The 20688-nt window shown below is 35.7% G+C and overlaps 1 long non-coding RNA gene across 1 annotated transcript in view; it reads left to right on the top strand.

Annotated features, from left to right (window-relative positions):
- LOC112267962 (uncharacterized) overlaps nt 1–20688 on the top strand; it is a 162505-nt gene that overhangs the window by 92140 nt on the left and 49677 nt on the right. The window contains exon 2 of the long non-coding RNA XR_002956360.2: nt 3198–3290. This is a non-coding gene — a long non-coding RNA (uncharacterized LOC112267962). The remainder of the gene's footprint in view (nt 1–3197; nt 3291–20688) is intronic.

Genomic DNA, 20688 nt, shown 5'->3' on the forward strand with positions numbered 1-20688 from the left:
TTGTTAGACTAAATAAAAAGCAAGACCCATCTTTGTCCTGTTTATAAGAGATCCACTTTGAATATAAAGTCACAGGTGAGTTAAAGTAAAAGAATGGAAAACACAATATTAAGCAAACACTAGTCAAAAGTAGCCAGAAGATGCTATATTAGTGTCAAACTGGACTTTAGAACAAAGAATATTACCAGGAATAAAGATATTACATATTAATAATGGGATCAATCTACTATGAGGACATAAACAGTTCTAAATGTTTATACAACTAACATCTCAGCTTCAAAATACTTGAGGAAAAACTGACACAACTGAATCCTTTTCTTTGTTAGAAACTTTTAAGCTCTTCAATAGCAATTCTATTAACTATTAGAATTTTTAAGATCTAAATCCCATGGATGAGATTTTTAGATGTTTGATACAGCAGCATCCTACTACCAATTACCAAAATCTGTATTAGTTCTACAGGTCTTTCCTAGATAAACCAATCTCTATTTTTGCCTTCAGCTCAGATGGATAAGAAGGAATTAATGTATGACATCTAAACAATTAATATAAACACTGTTTTTGTGAAGACAAAATTCTAACTCCAACATGGGCACCTTAAGCATATTAATTAAAATGTTTACTATATTGCACATAAGGAAACTGGGCCTTAATGAGATTGTGTACCTGCTCAAGGTCACACAGGAAAGGGCAGAGCTGAGATTTGAACTCAGATCTGTTTGTTGTTTATTGTTGAGTCTGTGATCTTCCTACCATATCACATTCTTTCTCTCAAAAACACATAATTACTTGAAATAAAATAAAAAAACTTGAACTGGAATTTGGGTGTGAATGTAAATGACAGTCATTCTCTGAATCATCAAAGAGATTGGAAAAGAAGGGAATGCCATTTGTTGGTTAACTGCTTTTGTTCTAGAGAACTACTAAACATAATTGCAGTTAGTTTAGGTAGAGACTCCCTTCTATAGGAGCCACACATACTAGTATAGTCTAAAGGCTGATAAGAAACCATGCAAAATTTGCAGTAATGTATACGCTGTAATTTCACAAATCTATATACAGCACTGCTACATTAATATTTGTTGAATGACTGAATGGATAGATATATTTCTGCAGTCAAATTATAATATCATGAGGTTTTAGTGTTATTAATTCACCAGTTTAAAAAGCATGTGGACCAAAGTAGTGGGATTTATAGAAACTGTTATTTTTCTGAAATTGATAAAATCTTCCTATTGCAATATTTCCATGATCTTATTAATTAACCAAGTCTTGCAAACTTGTTTTAGCAAAGGAAGTAGAACTGAATCAAGATACAGAGAAAGCGAACTGGTTGAAGAAATAAAAGGTGGAATTAAAAAATATCTTCTTCTGATTGCTACCACAATTTACAAACTATTTTGGAGATTCAAAATATCACAATCTATGACAATTGTCTTCATATTCACAGCTTGGACATGTTCACTACCTACATCTCATGTAACAGACAGTCAGCAGAATCAATGTGTTGCTAAGGAAACACATCTAGCACAAACATAAAAGACATAACAGGTTCAAAGGGCTCCAGGGAATTATTATAAAGCCATATAACCTGCCAAATAATTGGAACAATAAAAGTGGAAAATTAATTTCAAGCAAGACTAAACATTTCAACTGACTGCTGACAGGCTTTTAAAGAGTATATACATAGACAAGGAAAGAGGTGAGGACTTTTAAAGATCCAAGTGGCTAATTAATGGAGACTGAAGTCAAATGCAAGCATTGGGAGAATAGCAGAAAAAATTGGTTTCTGGTTTCACAAAAGAGGATTTACCTTAATCAAATTTATTAGTAAGAAGGATGAAGGTTCAGGGAACAGGCTCCTTGAAGCAGTTAAAAAATGGACCAATATTCTAAGCGTTGCAATTTGATGTGTTTCTTGGTCCAAGTAAAATATAACTAGGGTGTTAAAGGAAGTAGAGACAGAAATAGGAGACCTTTTTATGAATAGTTTTACAAGTGCACTTAGTTCTGGAGAGACCCCCTAGGATTAGCCAATGTGATGGAATTATTTTTAAAAGGTCTGGGAATGTACCAAGTGACTTGCATGCCAGTTGACATCACTCATAAGAAAAGTGTTAAAAGGTGTTTTGAGGGTCAAATGAAGAAACACTTGGAAGCTTACTTGCTTGATGAAGGAATGCCAACTGATTTTTTCAGATGGGCGAGAAATGCTTCATTAATTTGTCAAAATGTCAGAAAGGTATTATTTCTGCGGAAGAAAAGAGGTGTTGTAACATATCCTTAGCATTTCTATAGTGGGCAATTTACTGAAATGCTCCACTGGGGTTAAAACAATCTCCTCTCTTAAAAGTGGCATAATGAGAATATTGGTAGATTGAATTGAAACTTGCTAAATTGTAAGAAACAGAAGTTATTTGGCAATTGAATCATTGCTAGTTCAGAAAATCACCCTCCAGAGGACTTAATTTTGGCAGCCATGTGGATAGCTTCCTCTTTTTAGACAAAATCTATGTAAAATCCCCCCTTAGGCACTGTGTGCATAAAAAGTCATATAATACATGAGGTGTGACAAAATTATTTTTTAATAAAACTTATTTTGAAATAAAACTTAAAAACTTACACACTAAGGAAAAGTTAGTTCCATCAAAGTCATCAGCTTGGCAGGCTTCATACTCATTTCAGGGATGCCGCCTTTGGACAACTCATTCTTGGAATTTCTCTTGTGGAATTGTCCCACAAGACCATGCAAACTTTGAAAATTGTATTTCACAGTAAAAATTTTTCATGCTTTGAGCAAAAATATTGTATTTGGGAAAGGTCCAAAGAAATCAGAGGCTCATCTGGTAAAGAAAGTGAGTGATTAAACCGTTATTAATTTTTTTAAAAAATGAGGTGTAACTATTAAGTAAAGAAAGTGATATTATTTTGTGGCTTGTAACCTGATTTTCAAAGTAACTCCTAAAACATTTTAAACATGTTTTGATCAGTCAGTTATGCTTGTAATGGTACTAAAGATTTTCAAGGTGACTGCTTTGAAGGACAGTTTTAGAATTGGTAGCTGGTATGCTGATTAGAAAGCCAGTCTCATGGTGTTTTAACTTATAAAGAGAGAGAAGTAGAAATATATTGATGTCTAGTAAAAATTCCTTGGTGATTTTAAGAAATGAGAGCAATATATTTTAACGTTTTTATAGAAAAGGGAAAAGTCAAATTTCTGTTGTGGTTTGCTGTGGTGAGAAGAGCATGGTACCTACCGGAAGTCCAGAAGTGAAGCTATGTGAATTTGGGTAAGTCACTTTGACATCTTTTAGTATCTGCTTTTGTCTTAAAAATTGGATTATTTTTACTTTTGGACAATGACCGAAATATTATTGTCCCATTTGAAAAACATATGCACACACACCCGTTAAAGGGTGATTGTGAAGTTCAAATGTGATACTGTATGAAAATTCATTTTGAGAATGCTAATACACAGTATATATAATGTATTGTAATTTCAGAGAAAATATTGAGCAAAAATTAGAAGCGTATAATGATATCAGACTTTGTTCTGCATCCTGACTTCCTTCCATCATTAAGCTGTTGCTTTCATTTTTGCATAAACAGAGGCATGGACTTTGTCACAGCTTTTTCATACATAAAAGAAAGAGAGATGATACTTGCCTTTGAGTCATCACATTTAAATATAATGGAGTATTAGTAGAAACACTTGGAAATAAAGGCCTTGTATAAGTGTAAATTTACATTGCTAAGTGAAATGACTTGGCAAGTGCCTGGCACACAGTCAGTTTACAATACATTCTATTTATTATCGATATTCTTAGGCTTCATGGACAATGGTTTGTCATTGAATGTCATACTTTTGAATTTACATATCCAGAACTCAGATTTGAGCAGATTTTCTAGTAAAAGTACTGATATTTTATTTTTTTAATGCCTTAATTGTAGTCCAAGAGATCCTAGAGATAGGAAAAATAAAGTTCCCTTTAGCAGTAGAAAAATTCACCACGTCATGGAAAATTTGACTTGAATAACAAGAATTACTGTGGACACAAAAGATTGAGAACAAAAGACCTTAGTTTAGCTTCAGCTTCAGATTTCTAAATTACATTTTAAAATTGGGCATATAATAATAGAAACATCATGCAAAATGCTTGGAACTTGAGATATTTTGCATTTGGCATGAAAAAAATCATTGAGACCTCTGAAATAATGAAATTTTGTCATTATTCTCTCTTTTCTACTAGTGGTCCAGGCTGATATGTGTTGTAAATGATCCCTTTATGCCCAGGAAAAGATATTGAATAGTCTTGACGTAGTGAGGAAAACAGCAATAATACAACTTCTTAGACAAGAAGTCATCCCTTTCTCCAGTGTTCTCCACTGTGCATACAATAATTCTCTGAGCTTGATTTTGCCATGTGAAAATTCAAGCTCTGAGATACAGTGAGAAAGAAAGTGAGAGAATGTTTGGGACACAGGGTGATACCTCAGTACAGCTATTATACTTTTGTTTAACAAACTCTGAAATCTATCTTGGCTTCAGCACATCAAGGAGCTAGATATACTATATCACATGTTAGGAGTTCTTCCTCTACCTCATGAAATGTTTCAAAAATGAGTCCATGTTTTCTGAATCTAGTGGTAAAGAATGGGAATGATTGTTTTATGGGCTGAGAGCTCATACCTCATTTCACAGACGTTTCATGAAGTGCCCAGCTAGTTATCATAAGACCCAAACTCTACTTCTTGCTCCAGGTAGAGATATTGTGAATGGACATATATAAGAGAAATAGCTTTATCTAGGTATAGAATTTGGGGAGGGAGGAGATATTTACTATATGCAACAAAATTAGGGAAATTTTTTTAGGTAGAATTCAATCCATCAAGATACCAGTGTGAAACCATAAACAGCGGTCTTTGAATTTGGGATTAATGAAGTGATTTATTTAATATGCCTAAATCTTAAAAAAGACTAATACCTATGTTAGTTTCATTATAAATTAATTTAAACACACAATTAAAAAAATAGATACTTCTTCATGGACTAATGATATTGCTAGGTACTGGAGATAAGACTAGAGGGGCCAAGAAGGAGGCTTTTCTGATCAGTTGGGACTCTCATTTTTTGTGTTATCACTGTTCTTCCTTTTTTTTTTTCCTGGCAATCCCATAGAAATCTTGGAATTGTCTCTTTTCAGTTTCAGGTCTTTATTCTAATTTTTTAATGCACTTGATCAAATTATAGTCTTTATCAATTAATTTATACAATCACTTTGCTTCACCCTTATATACTCTGCAGAAATCCTGACTGCTCAACCTGATAAATCATTTTAGTGTGTTTAATTGACCCGGTAGCTCTCTGAACAATTTTTTATCTATGTATCTATGTCAACATATTTTCTGCTGTCTACTTTCTCTGGTTCACTATGTGAAGGTAGGGTTTATAATTCATTTTCTTTAGCGGGAAAGTGATTTGTGTTTGAGATCCATGCAGAAAACAGATGCTCAATAAATAAAAAAGACTGCTTTGACTACAGGTAACAGAAAACTAAGGATGTCTTAAACCATTAGGATGTTCAAGTTGATGAATAGGAAGCCCAGAAGTAGGCTGTATGGGAATACTTAATTAGCTTGGTGATGCCAGCGAAGAATCCAGACATTTTCAGCCTCTGTCAGGATGCTGGCCTTGTCCTTTGGCTCAAGTGCAGTCACAGAGGACTGCTGCAGCTCCTGACATTAGTCCCAGTGTGATGGCATCTAGAGAAAAAAGAAAGAGCAGGGGTTAAATGGGATCACTCAACGTGTATATCTCTTTTTTTAAGGCTGGAATATTTTCCAGAAGCAATCAGATATTTTCTACATAGTAATTTCCAGAATCATGTCTCATGGCCCCCTGAGCTACAAAAATGGCTGGAAAAAAATTTCTATTATTCCTAGACTCCCTGAACTAAGAGCAGGTTTAGGCTATTGAATGGGTAACTAAGGATTCATATCAATTACAGGCCAGGCACAGTGGCTGATGCCTGTAATCCTAGCACTTTGTGAAGCCAAGGTGGGCGAATCACTTGAGGCCAGGATTTTGAGACCAGCCTGGCCAACATGGCAAAAACCCATCTCTCAAAGAAATAAAAAAGTTAAAAAAAAGAATTATATCAATTACAATAATTGTGTTTTAATTTCCTGTTATACATAAATGTCCCCCTTCCCGCCACAGCAGGACACTTCTAATATCTTTTAATATCATAAGAGCTACATATACCCTTGCCTCTGTTCTCTATTCATTTCTAAACTGTGTCATAAATAACAATAACAATTCTTAATTGCACAGTTATGTGGATAAACATAAATTTTCATATACTAGAAATGGGTGTTTTGCTGTATCTCACATATACATAATGTGTGCTGAATAAATATTTAAAAAAATTAAGAGCAGAAACTGATCCAACACTAGAATTTCTCTGAATATCACTGGATATATGTTCATTGCTACAATTAAAGCAAAAATTAAAGTCTACACTTGATTAATGTAGAAACAAAAATGTTCTATTAATAAAAATAGCTATTGCAGTAATATATGTAAAATATATATAAAATAATATATATATAAAAGTAATAATATAATAAATAATGAATTAATTCAGGAACTGTTCAAGGAAATGAAGACACAGGAATGAACAAAACAGGTAAGATTTCATAGACCTTGTATTCTGTAGGTGAAACAGACAATAAACAGATAAGTAAATACACAGTATGTCAGGTGATGTTAGGTGCTTGTGAAGAAAAATAGCAGAGAATGCTGCTTTGGGTGGGTGGGTGTGTGAGGACTGTTGCTATTTTATACAAGGTGATCATAAAAGCGCTCATAGGTGAGATTCCTCACAGATAAATATTCTGAAGGAAGTGAGGGAACACGGGAACAAAGGGAAGTGACAAAGACAGAAGTCAAGAGACAACTTGGCCTTTTTAACACACAGGAATACATAGTAACTTCAAAAACTGTGCTGAATGGAGTGTTGCATAAATGAATGAACATATATAAATAATACTTAGGTATGCTTGCCTATTGGTCTGTTGTTAAACACCAATTCTTCATTATAAGGGCACTGGTGAAATGAATTTTTTTTTTAAGTTTTTTTTTAGATTCAAGGGATTTGTATGTAGGTTTATTACATGGATAAATTGCATGATGCTGAGGTTTGGGCTTCTAAAAGATCCTGTTGCCTGAGTAATTAATGTAGTACCTGATAGGTGGTTTTCCAACCCATTTCCCTGCTCCCTTTTCCCTCCTCTTTAGGAATCTTCAGTGTTTATTTTTCCTATCTTTGTATCCATGTGTACCCAGTGTTTAGCTCCCACTTACAAGTGAGAACATGTAATATTTGGTTTTCTGCTTTCAGCATGAATTCACTTAGGATAATGGTTTCCAGCTACATCCATGTTGCTGCAAAGAACATGATTGTGTTTTTTTATGGATGCATAGTATTCCATGGCATGTATGTACCACAGTTTGAAGTGGAATTTTTAAGGGAAAGTCTGTCCTCATTCAATCTAGGTCATTTTCTTTGCCTGTAGACCCAATTCTTTGTTACCTACTGGTTTTCTTATTGTAACAGTTACTATGTTGAGTACTTACTATGTGTTAGATAGAGTGTAAAATGGTTAAGACACAAATCTTACTTAATAATTTTCTCAGTCTTACAGGGTGAGATACATCAAGATTAACTTTTCCAATTTCAAAGCCAATGAGTGGCTAAAACAGAATTAGAACTTTGTTCTTAAATGATACCACATTTCAAACTAATTCACTAAAACTCAGAATGAACTTATAATTTTCTTGTACTTTGTATCACATGCAAATTGAAAAAGGTATCTCCATGTCTGTAGCTGTTAAATATTTAGAATTTAGGTAAACATTAATTTCTCTAGGTACATGATTTTAAAATTATATTACTTGGAGCACTATTGCAAAAGGTATTAATACTTTTTATATGAAAAAGTAGTTCCATGGTCAAATAATTTTTTAAGAACACCAGATTATAGAAAGGTAAACAGGCTACTTGAATATAGGGCTTCCCAAAGCCTTTACAATGCTAGTGATATGAATGCTCCATGAAATGAACGTCTCCAAATTATTGGATTATGGAAGGGCTGTTTATGAAAGACCTCTAAGTGTCTGAATGAACTAGTTTATGTGGTACACAGTTCTTGAAATTATACTTTGGTTATGTCAGTTTCTATGAGATACTATTCAAGTCTATTCAATGCAGGAGGTTTACCATGTGATATGGTTTGGCTGTGTCCCCACCCAAATCTCATCTTGAATTGTAGCTCCCATAATTCTCATGTGTCCTGAGAGGGACTCACTGGGTGATAGTTGAATCATGGGGGTGGGATTTTCCTGTGCTGTTCTTGTGATAGTGGTTGGTTTTATAAAGGGCAGTTCCCTGCACATGCTCTCTTGCCTGCTGCCATGTAAGACATGCCTTTCCTTCTCCTTTGCCTTCTGCCATGACTGTGAGGCCTCCCCAGCCATGTGGAATGTGAATCCTTTAAACCTCTTTTTCTGTGTAAATTACCCAGTCTCAAGTATTTCTTCATAGCAGTATGAAAATGGACTAATAGAGTAAATTGGTACCAGAATAATGGGGTGCTGCTCTAAAGATGCCCCAAAATATGGAAGCCACTTTGGAACTGGGTAACAGGCAGAGGTTGAAAGAGTTTAGAGGGCTCAGAAAAACATATAAAAATGTGGGAAAGTTTGGAACTTCCTAGAGACCTATTGAATTGCTTTGACCAAAATGCTGATGTGATATGGACAATAAAGTCCAGGCCAAGGTGGTCTGAGATGGAGATGAGTAACTTGTTGGGAAATGGAGTAAAGGTCACTCTTGCTATGCAAAGAGACTGGAGGCATTTTGTCTCTTCCCTAGAGATCTGTGGCACTTTGAAATTGAGAGAGATTATTTAGGGTATCTGGCAGAAGAAATTTCTAAATAGCATAGTATTCAAGAGGAGGCAGAGCATAAAAGTTTGAATTTTTTTTTTTTTTTTTTTTGAGACAGAGTTTTGCTCTTGTTGCCCAGGCTGGAGTGCAATGGCACGATCTCAGCTCACTGCAAAACATTGCAGCCTGATGATGCATTAAAACAGGAAAACCCATTTTCTGGAGAGAAATTCAAGCCAACTGCTGAAATTTGTATAAGTAACAAGGAGCCAAATGTTAATCACTAAAACAATGGGGAAAATGTCTCCAGGGCATGTCAGAGATCTTCACAGCAGCCATCACAGACCTGGAGGCCTAGGAGGAAAAAATGGTTATGTGGGCTGGGCTCAGGGCCCCCCTACTGTGTGCAGCTTAGGGACTTGGTGCCCTGCATCCCAGCTGCTTCAGCCATGGCTAAAAGGGGCTAAGGTACAGCTTGGGCTGTGGCATCAGAGGGTGAAAGCCCCAAGTCTTGGCAGCTTTGTTGTGATGTTGAATCTGAGGATGCATAGAAGTTAAGAATTGAGGTTTGAGAACTTCCACCTAGATTTCAGAGGATGCAGGGAAATGCCTGATGTCCAGGCAGAAGTTTGTTGCAGGGGCAGGGCCCTCATAGAGAAACTCTGCTAGGGCAGTGTGGAAGGGAAATGTGGGGTTGAAGCCTCCACACAGAGTCCTTGGGCACTGCCTAGAGGAGCTGTGAGAAGAAGGCCACTGTCCTCCAGACCCCAGAATGGTAGATCCACTGACGGTTTGCACTGTGGGCCAGGAAAAGCTCAGACACTCAATGCTAGGCTGTGAAAGCAGCTGGGAGGGGGTCTGTACTCTGCAAAGCCATAGAGGTAGAGGTGCCCAAGGCCATTGGAGCCCACTTCTTGCATCAGTGTGACCTGGATGTGAGACATGGAGCCAAAGGAGATTATATTGGAGCTTTAAGTTTTGACTGCCTCACTGGATTTCAGACTTGCATGGGGCCTGTAGCTCCCTCATTTTAGCTGATTTCTCCCATTTGGAATAGGTGTATTTTTCCAATGCCTGTAATCCCATTGTATGAAGGAAGTAACTAACTTGCTTTTGATTTTACAGGCTATTAGGTGGAAGGGACTTGCTTTGTCTCAGATGAGACTTTGAACTATGGACTTCTGAGTTAATGTGGGAATGAATTAAGACTTTGGGGGACTGTTGAGAAGGCATGCTTGGTTTCGAAAGGTGAGGACATGAGATTTGGGAGGGGCCAGGGGCATAATGATATGGTTTGGCTGTGTCCCTACCCAAATCTCATCTTGAATTGTGGCTCCCATAATCCCCTTGTGTCGTAGGTGAGTTCTGGTGGAAGGTAATTGAATCATGGAGTGAGTTTTCGCCATGCTGTTCTTGTGATAGTGAATATGTCTCATGAGATCTGACAGTTTTATAAAGGGCAGTTCCCTTGCTCGTGCTCTTTTGCCTGCCACCATGTAAAATGTGCCTTTGCTCCTCCTTCACCTTCTGCCATGATTGTGAGGGCTCCCCAGCCATGTGAAAGTGTGAGTCCATTAATCCTCTTTTTCTGTATAAATTACCCAGTCTCAGGTATTTCTTCCTAGTAGTATAAAAATGGAAAAATATGCTATGCTTCAGTCAGAATGCATTCTAGCTATTGCTTATATAAAAAAACTTTCTTGCCCTTCCTTAATTTGGAAGAGCTCCTATAACTTGAATTTAGATGGTAAAATAATTACATCAAAGATGAGTATCATCTAGAAGCTTTCCCCCCTTAAGCACTGATTTGTAAGTTACATTTAGAAATACCCATTTCTTTAATTCTTTCCTACCCATTTTCAGTTGTTTGGAATAAAGAGGAGATAAAGATCTGTCCACTTTATCCTTTTTTATAGGTTGCTGTTTAACTGTTTCTTGCCTATTTGTGTGCAGTTTAGGTCTTCTCCACCTGATACAATAGTCTTTGGCCAGCTTCAAGTAGGGCTATTTTAATCCCACATGTAACATGTCACAATTTACTCTGAGAACAAATGCTTTCATATTATATTTGGCTTGTAAATGACACTTCTGTTCATTAGTGGTACCTAGTTGGGGCTTTGAGGAGTAGCTAATTTTGATGTAATTTATCAATGACAGAAAGGAATACACGGGTGAAATTTCCAAAATTCAGCTACATCCTGACCTTGGGTTTCTATTTTCTGGAGGTACCAATTATCTTGGGAACTTTTAATTTCAAGAACATCTTTTCATCCTGCAGAGTTTCTTCAACCACAAGGTCAGCAGCAGAACATAAGATGTTGCCTTGAATCATTTCTCCATTTATTTTCATTCTGTTACATATTGTCTAGAAGTTAAAAGAGTTCCCTGGAATTAATACCATTTGTTGGAACAAGCAGGGGAAACTCCTACTTTTTTTTCCCCAGGCCCTTCTTTAGGAAATATGACAGCTTCTACCACCCCTGGTTTTTCTGGCAGTACTGTGCCATGGTTGTCCAGTGATCCCCCATTGTGAAGAGAGCTCAGTGACACCTGGGCACAGCATCATGGGATCCCAGAGAGATTTTCACCAATTCATCTGTTTTCCCCTGCTCATATCTCCTGGGAGTGAAACCCATGAAGTTTACTCACAGGAAATTTCTGTTTATTTTCCTCAAAAAATATTTGCCAGAGCTGACGATGTGTTTTCTTCCACAGAGTTTAAGAGTAATTCACATTAAGGTGACAAAATCTGGATACCACAGAGTCATAAGGTCACCATAGGCTGACACCTTTCTAGAAATAGCAGCTGTTAGCAGGACCCAGCACAGGTTCCAAGCAGGAGTCCCTTTGGGAAGCCACTTCAGCCAGCATAGATGTGGACTTGGACTGTGGCAGCTGGTCCTGGGGATAAAAGCTCTTTTGGGTAGCAGCTTTCAGCATGTCAGCTAATAGCCAAGTCCTCTCAGTGGCCATGGATCAAAGTGCCTACCAATTCTTTCACAAAAGTTCCTTCAAGAGCTCTGATAATTATATTGGCAAAACAAGTCTTTGCTAAATACTACACTCCTAGTCTCCAACTCAATTCCTTTTCATTCATAAAACGATAGAACTTTTGAGTTAGAAAAACCATCTCTGAGCTCAGCCTCTTATTTTATACTTCTGAAATATTGGCCTCAGAGAGGTGCTCTGATTGTCTAATTCTGCATTAAAAAAAATCAGGGTTACACCAAGATTGGAAGAAGTTTATACCATCCCCCGACCAAGTCCAAGGCTATTCTTACAAGTTATATTGGTCTCAAAATGTTCTAAATGTGAGCCCTGCCACATCAAGTGAGTTTCTTGGCTCAAAGCAAAGGAAGCTGACTCCAACTTAAGCCAATGGAAAAGGTATACACTAGAGATATAATGGGATGCCCAGAGAATTAAAGGAAGCTTGGAAAAATCAACCCTAGCAGAGATGAAACCTGGAAAGCTGCAAGCACTCCAACCCCAGAAAATTGGGATACAAATTTCTAGGTGCTGCTTCCTGCCCCTGTGAGCATCCTCTCTGTTGGCTGTACAGGCATGACACCAACATCTGCTTCTGGGGAGGCCTCAGGAAGCTTACAATCATGATGGAAGTCGAAGGGGGAGCAGGTGTGTCACATGGTGAGAGCAGTAGCAAGGGAGGTACCAGGCTCTTGAAACAATCAGATCTCACAGGAACTGATAGAGTGGGGACTCGCTTATTATTATTGACAGTTCTACCAGAACCACATGAAATAAGGGAGAATCAGTTTGCCCAGAAAAGGGATGGGGTGGGGTTCTTTAGCCTGATGCCTGATGCTCAAAGGAGAGGAAAAAATGCTGTACTTAGCTCGATAATCCTGAAGAAACCAAAGAAATGCTACAGACATGTAAATAAAATTGTAACACTGGATTTCTATTCACTAGAAAGAAATGAATAATTCTATTAATCTATAACTATTAAAAGTAAACCAGAGGGATGTTTTGGCCTTTGTTATTGAATTGTTGAGTAATCACCATTATTGTTTTACTAAAATACTATATACAGTGACCATAAGATAATCTTTTAATGTTGAATTCTTTATCTTAGTAAGATTTAGAAAAATCTAATGAAAGAGTCCTTTATAAAAATAAAATAAAGGAGGAAACTGGAGGGTCCTACTTAGAAAATACTCAACTATAGGGACAATAGTGACCAAATATATTAGATCGATATAAAATTAGGCTGTAACTTTTCACCTTTCTAATCTGTTTTCTGAGACAGTATGTAATATTAGAGGAAAAGTTTTCTCTCTGCTAAAAAGAATCTAAGAACCAATGGGGGAAGAATATTATCATGTAAGTAAAATGTTCAACTTAGTCTAAAATTCCTTTAAATACTTTATAAGGTTGTGTCAAATAGAATGTATTCATTTGGGAATTGAAGCATTTTGAAATATTCAGAAGAAATCCTCTTGGTCAGATCGAACAGTTCAACATTTATTCACTTTTTGAACACAATTAATTATCTGTGGGGGCATTCATTACACAGGAGACTTATAAAATAAAGCATGGAAACAAAATGCACATATACTGGTTTCTTCTTTTTTATAAAGATAAAATTCACATGACATAAAAGTCACCATTTTAACCATTTTAAAGTGTACATTTCATGGCTTTCTTATGTTCACAATGTTATGCTATCATTACCACTAATTCCAGAATAGTTCTATCACCACCCCCGCCAAAGAAACTCTATACCCAATTCTCCCATCCTCTATTTCCTGGCAACCACAAATCAACTTTCTGTCTCTATACATGTGCCTACTTTGAAGATTTCATATAAATATGGTAATGGGATAATAAAAATATCATGTAATAGGCAGCCCTTTGGTCTGGATTTTTTCAATTAGCAAAATATTTTTAAGGTTTATCCATGTTGTAGCATGTATCAATATTTCATTCTTTTTTTATGGCTGAATAATATTTCATTTTATGTATCACATTTTGTTTTCTCATTCATCAGTTGATGGACATTTGGGTTATTGCCACTGTATTAGTCTGTTTTCACACTGCTATAAAGAACTACTTGAAAATGGATAATTTATAAAGAGAAGAGGTTTAATTTACTCACAGTTCCACAGGGCTGGAGGCCTCAGGGAACTTATCATGGTGGAAGGCAAAGGGGAAACAAGGCCCATCTTACATGGTGGCAGGAGAGAGCAAGAGCGAAGGAAGCCACAGACTTTTAAACCATCATATCTCATGAGAACTCACTCGTTACCACAAGGTCAGCATGGGGGATCTGTCCCCATAATCCAATTACCTCCCACCGTCCCTCTCCCTCGACACATGGGGATTACAATTTGAGATGAGATTTGGGTGGAGACACAGAGCCAAACCATATCAGCCACATTTTACTATTATGAGAAATGTTGCTACAAACATTAGTGCATGAGTGGTTGTGTAAACATGTTTTCAGTTCTCTTGGGTATATACTTAGGAGTGGAATTGCTGGATCATATGGAAACCTTGTTTTTAACTTTTGGAGGAACTACTAAATTCCATAGTGGCTGCACTATTTTAAATTCCCATTAGCAATGTATGAGGGTTCCAATTTCTTCATGATCTCACCAACATTTATTTTTCATTTTTAAATCTTGTAATCATTATAGTTATTCTGGAGGATATGAAGTAGTATGCTATTGTGGTTTCAATTTGCATTTCCCTTAATAACAATAATGTTGGATATACATTAATTTTCAACCTATATCATTATATTAAAAGAAGAACAGCAACAAATAATTGCACAAAAACTCAAGCAGTATATATAAATTAACCATCATGTCAATATGTGGCAATTTCTAATCTGTCAAATTCATGTGCATATTTTCTATAGACCTTCAATCACACAGATGTATAGGAATGTGTGAAAATAGTCTAATAGGAAATTCAGTTGACCATGAGACAGAATCTTCTTGAGACTTTTTTGATGAGAAGAAATTGATCTTTCAAAGATTGTTATTATATCTGAATATTAAAGTGTCCTAGCTATAAAAAGTAAAATGGACAGTTGCCTTCAATAACTTCAACCTAAAAATCATGAACAATTTTTATCTTCTGTAGCATCCCATTTCTCCCTCTTTTCTTGAGATCCTCAAGCATAGAGTGTCCCTGGCTTTTCTAGCTTTTTCCTTTCTGAACTTACTCTCTTAAAAATATCCTATTGCTACTAGCTACATGCAAGTGTGGATGTAATTCAGTGTGTTACAATTGCAACAAGAACAAGAAAGTCAAGGTTAACGAAATAGTTTAGTTTGCTGCTTGAGCTGAGTGGACTCCATCTCTCATACTTGTATTCTTTGTGTTATTTTTTATGGCTTTTCTCTCATTCCTTTATTCCTGACTGGTCATCGTCTGTCACCTGACTTTTTTTTTTCTGTTCTGAGTGTAACTCCAATTTCACATGTGGACTCTGAAGCCATATTCTAAAAATCTGTTGAAAGGGTGTTTAAATAATAGTAGGCAGATGCTGAGTTGTTTCCTCTATAAGATAACTTCAGGGCATTAGGAGATAGATTATGTGATGGCTGTTTTGTCTGTTTAGTTATTTTTCCCTTTCTGTTACTTGATTACTTTTGCATTATGTGATATCTGGTATTTGATGGCAAATATTCAATGACCTCAGTTTTTTGAAACATCCAAATTGTGTGAACTTTTGACGCTTAACACTTTTATGAAGCAGTCAATTTAGATGCTAAAACAGCAGAGTTTAACTATGCAAACTTTCAGACAAGCCTAAGTTGGTCTAATGTCCCAGCAAAGCATTTATTGTGCTGCAACATGGCTGATGTTAACATCTACTCTGTGTTTCATGGGCCTGGTGGTGTTAACTGTTTCTTTGAGCAGATGTTTGTCGACAGTTAATGTACTATACTTTGTTGCTACCTGTTCTTTTCAGAAGCAATTATAGACCTTGGATTGCACTCTTAAATTAACAGCACGCTTGGCAGATCTAATAGAAGGGCTGTCCTCATCTTTTAACCACCTGCCCCGAAGAGATGCATCTGAGTTGTCAGAAATGCTACCTCTGGGCTTTAGAGTAATGTGCTTCTTATCTCTGCACTTATAACTACCATATTGAAATAGAGTACAACACCTTTTATCTTCTCCCACGCAGATGTACACCATTAATTTATATAAGTACAACTGCTCATCTTGGTTATCTTTGCTATGGATAGTGTATGATATCTATAATGTCAGTTTTGAGGAAGTCCATTTGTTTTGAAAGGAAAAAAAAGGTGCTAATAATTGATTTAAAGAAAAATTTTAATTATCATTATTTGTAGTAAAGCTATTTTTTTTATCCTACACTATTGTCAGGCTAATACTGGCTGGTACTTTGTTTCTATCTCTTATTCTCTTATCCAGGAAACTACTTTTACTTTGATAAAAAGAAATGATAATGGCTGATTTGACTAATTCATTCTTTTTTATTGAATTCAGATAAAAATTATGATTAGCCTAAATATATCACATCTGAAAAATTTAGAAAGTGTTATCTCCAAGGAAAATAAGGTAAAATTATTTGACAATACTTTGCTGGTTTTGTTGAGACCTCACTATGAGTAACAGATTGACATGTAAAAATTTTATGTTCCCAAGAGTTGTGCCTCCTCCCAGATTTCTACACATCTGTATCGTTCTCTCTCCAGTTTATTTGATCCCATGCACAGGTGTCAAAGTGTGTGTGGTTACTAAATCATGTTTGATCTTAAAGCATATTTCCAAACATGGTCAAGGATTGATGGACATCTCAAAGATGAAGGGTCTAAACAAGGAGTGAGGATGACTTCAGAAGGCCTGGGAAACAATAAAGTCATGCAAAAATAGTGAACTCGAAATGAAGAATAGAAAGAAAGACAAAAGCATTGGATTGAAGAAATATTGTTACCAAGAAGAGAGAATGAAAAAACTAGGGGAATTGAGATGCAAATATATTATTATACATGTATGGATATAGGTGAAAGATGAGAGAAAAAGTGGTTTTTCTTACCTGAGCTGCCTGTCCGTGGCCTAAACTGGTCCTTGGTCTTTTTTAATAGTGAAGGTTTACTTCCTAAGGGATTTTTTTTTCGGTGTGTGATGTTTAGACTCTACAATCTATTTTTTTCTGGTCTTTTTATTTATCTTCTAAGTTCACGTAAAATTCATGACTAGGATGTGTTTTCTTCATAAAGGCTCTAAATCATTGGAAATAACATTTCCTTTTATAAGTTAGATATTAATACAAAAATAAGTAATGAGACAAACTGTTTTAAGTCTTAGGAAGATAGTTTTTATAAAATATGAAAGTGTAATATTATAGAGGTAATATAAATAGATGTTTAATATAACCCAGATATCATTTGTGATCTTTGATTTTACTGAAATGGTATCATTCGTAATATTGCCTTCTAAATTTACATCACGGATTATAAGTGCTAGAACTAAGAATATCTATAAGGGTTTATTAATATTTTGGTAATGCAATACAATATAGTGGTAAAAGCACATACTTTGGTATCAGACATGTTCAGTTCAAAATCTGACTCAGTGCAGTGGCATGACATCTACCAGGAATCAGAGACCTAGATTCAAGCCTTGATACTAACATCAGTCAAATCGTTTGAATCTTTCTGAGCCTCAATTTTCTAATAGGGAAATGGGGATAAAAATACTTGCTCTGCTTAATGTTTAGGCTGCTTAGGGAGCTTAATTGGGGTAACCTGTGCAGTGCGGATAGCTGTGAGACATTGTTGTGAGCACAATTGTGAACTTGCTTTTTAACACCTGCATAATCCTGGCTCATGTACACTTAGTGGCCCTCAGATACTTTTTACTTATTCATCAATCTGATATTTTTTTATCCTGAATCTTTTACAGACAGGGCTCAAGGAGAAACTGCTATGAGGAAACTCAAAGAGCCATACCCTTAATTTTGGGCCTCTTACATCCTCCCGAGGGGAATTTGAGGATTTCAAACATGATAATTGTATCAGGATGCAATTTCTACTCTGACATATGCTTTAACATTTAATAAAGAAGAAATGGAATTTTAGTTTAAAAATTAAAATTCTTGACCAAATTGAATTTTTCAAAATGTAATATTTTTCACCTAAAAACGGGTTTTCCATTTGATTTTGTTTTTGGAGAGAAACTGGTTTTCTTATACAAAGGTGATAGAACTCTTTTTGTGTGGTTTGTCTTTTTAAAAAGTTTTTTGTTTAGTGAGGAAATTTCTCTGGAATGAGACGATGTTACTAGAACAGGCATTTTTAACACGTGAGAAAATTATAGGACTATGTGAAATTACAGTTTTAAGATTTAGAGATGTCTGAAATTACATAATGTATTCATATTATATGTTAAGGACTTGCTAATTAAGGTGGGCCTTTTAAAAATAATTAAGCACCGTGAGTGTTATTTAGCAGTGATTTAGTCATTTAAAAACAACATAAGCAGTATATCTAAGTTGTGTGTAAGTTTTATTAGGGATCTTCAGAATTACAGTATTGGAGACCAAGGAATTGATATTCTTTTCAGGAATAGCACTAATTTCAATATAATTAATGATATGGTGGCATATAAGCACAAGAAAATTATATAGAATTTCTTATTTGTTGTGGCCAAGATATTAATATTTTGTTTATGAGACTTTGTATCTGAACATATATAGAGAAATATTTTATTCAGTATTTGAAGCAAAAGACTTCTTCCCACATTTCTCTATGAATCAGTGTATATTTCATGTTCTGTTAAAACCAAACACCACTGTGAAAAAGTTTTCACTCTTTAAAAAAGTGTGACTATTTTATTTGTTTGTTAAATTCCTTAATATACTATAGGCAAATTTGGTGCTTAAAACATGACAGATAAGTTTTCTGTTATGGATGTGATTTCCTAATCAATAGTAAACTGAAAAAAATGTAGTAAATGTAGGCAGGTCATAAGGAAAGAAGGTATTACAAGGGATTGTCCTAGTGTCAGGCTGGCAGAGAACCACAGGGCAGTGTAGAGTGTGGTAAAGTGGGATCAAAGGGTTTGAACACTTCTATCTGTTTACTTAATGTCATTTTATTCAAAGCACCTAATCTGATCTCCCCCCATGTAAAATTATACACCCCAATGCTTCTAATTTTCCTTGTCGTGCTGTTTCCTTCTGGAGTGCTAATTACCTTCAAATGCACTATATATTTTAAAATATTTATTTGTTTTATTTTCTTCACCCTTCTCCCATCAACTGTAAACTTCATAAAGTCAGAAGTTTTGTTTGCTTTATTAATGCTTGCAATATCATCTGATAGCCTGCAAATGCTGAATAAATCCTTGTTGAATGAATGCATAAATGCATCAATATCTGCAGAAATAGATAAGTAGATTCAATGCACTGCATCAGCTTGTGCACCTGAAAGTGGTTCTAATTGATCATTTGGTTGTTTGTCTGAAGCCTGGACTCATCAGTGGAATGTATCAAATGAAGTTGAAATGACAGAAATAAATTTGTATCTTGTAGAAAGATAAATCTAAAGAATTTAGGGAGACTGGGTATCCTCCAAGTTTATTCCTCAAGAGGATACTGAAAACACTTCCTTCAGGTAGCGTGATGCCTCCAGTTTTGTTCTTTTTGCTTAGAATTGACTTGGCTATTTATTATTTTATTATTTTGCTTAGGATTGACGTGGCTATTGATTGGCTCTTTATGGTTCCATATGAATTTTAAAGTAGTTTTTTCTAATTCTGTGAATAATGTCAATAGTAGTTTGAACGGGAATAGCATTGAATCTATAAATTACTTTGGCTAGTATGGCCATTTTCACAATATTGATTCTTTCTATCCATGAGGATAGGATGTTTTTCCATTTGTTAGTGTCCTCTCTTATTTCCTTGAGCAGTGGTTTGCAGTTCTCCTTGAAGAGATCCTTCATGTACCTTTTTAGCTGTATTTCTAGTTATTTTACTGTAGGTATTTTATTCTGTTTGTAGCAATTGTGAATGAGAGTTCATTCATGGATTGTCTCTCTGCTTGTCTATTTCTGGTGTACAGGAATGCTTGTGATTTTTGCACATCGATTTTGTATCCTGAGACTTTGCCTAAGTTACTTATCAGCTTAAGGAACTTTTGGGCTGAGACGATGGGGTTTTCTAAATATAGGATCATGTCGTCTGCAAACAGAGACAATATGACTTCCTCTCTTCCTATTGGAATACCCTTGCTTTCTTTCTCTTGCCTGATTGCCCTGGTCAGAACTTCCAATACTGTGTTGAATAGGAGTGGTGAGAGAGGGCATCCTTGTCTTTTGCTGGTTTTTAAAGGGAATTCCAGCTTTTGCCCATTCAGTATGATATTGGCTGTGGGTTTGTCATAAATAGCTCTTATTATTTTTGAGATATGTTCCATCAATACCTGGTTTACTGAGAGTTTTTAACATGAAGGGATGTTGAATTTTATTGAGACTTTTTCTGCATCTACTGAGATAATCATGTTGTTTTTGTCATTGGTTCTGTTTATGTGATGGATTACATTTATAGATATATGTAAGTTGAACCAGCCCTGCATCCCAGGGATGAAACAGATTTGATTGTGGTGGATAAGCTTTTTGATGTGCTGCTGGATTCAGTTTGCCAGTATTTTATTGAGGATTCTTGCATGGATGTTCATCAGGATTATTGGCCTGAAGTTTTCTTTGTTTTGTCTGTGCCAGGTTTTGGTG

This window comes from Homo sapiens, chromosome 6, assembly GCF_000001405.40.
Source record: "Homo sapiens chromosome 6, GRCh38.p14 Primary Assembly".
Classification (NCBI taxonomy): Eukaryota; Metazoa; Chordata; class Mammalia; order Primates; family Hominidae; genus Homo; species Homo sapiens.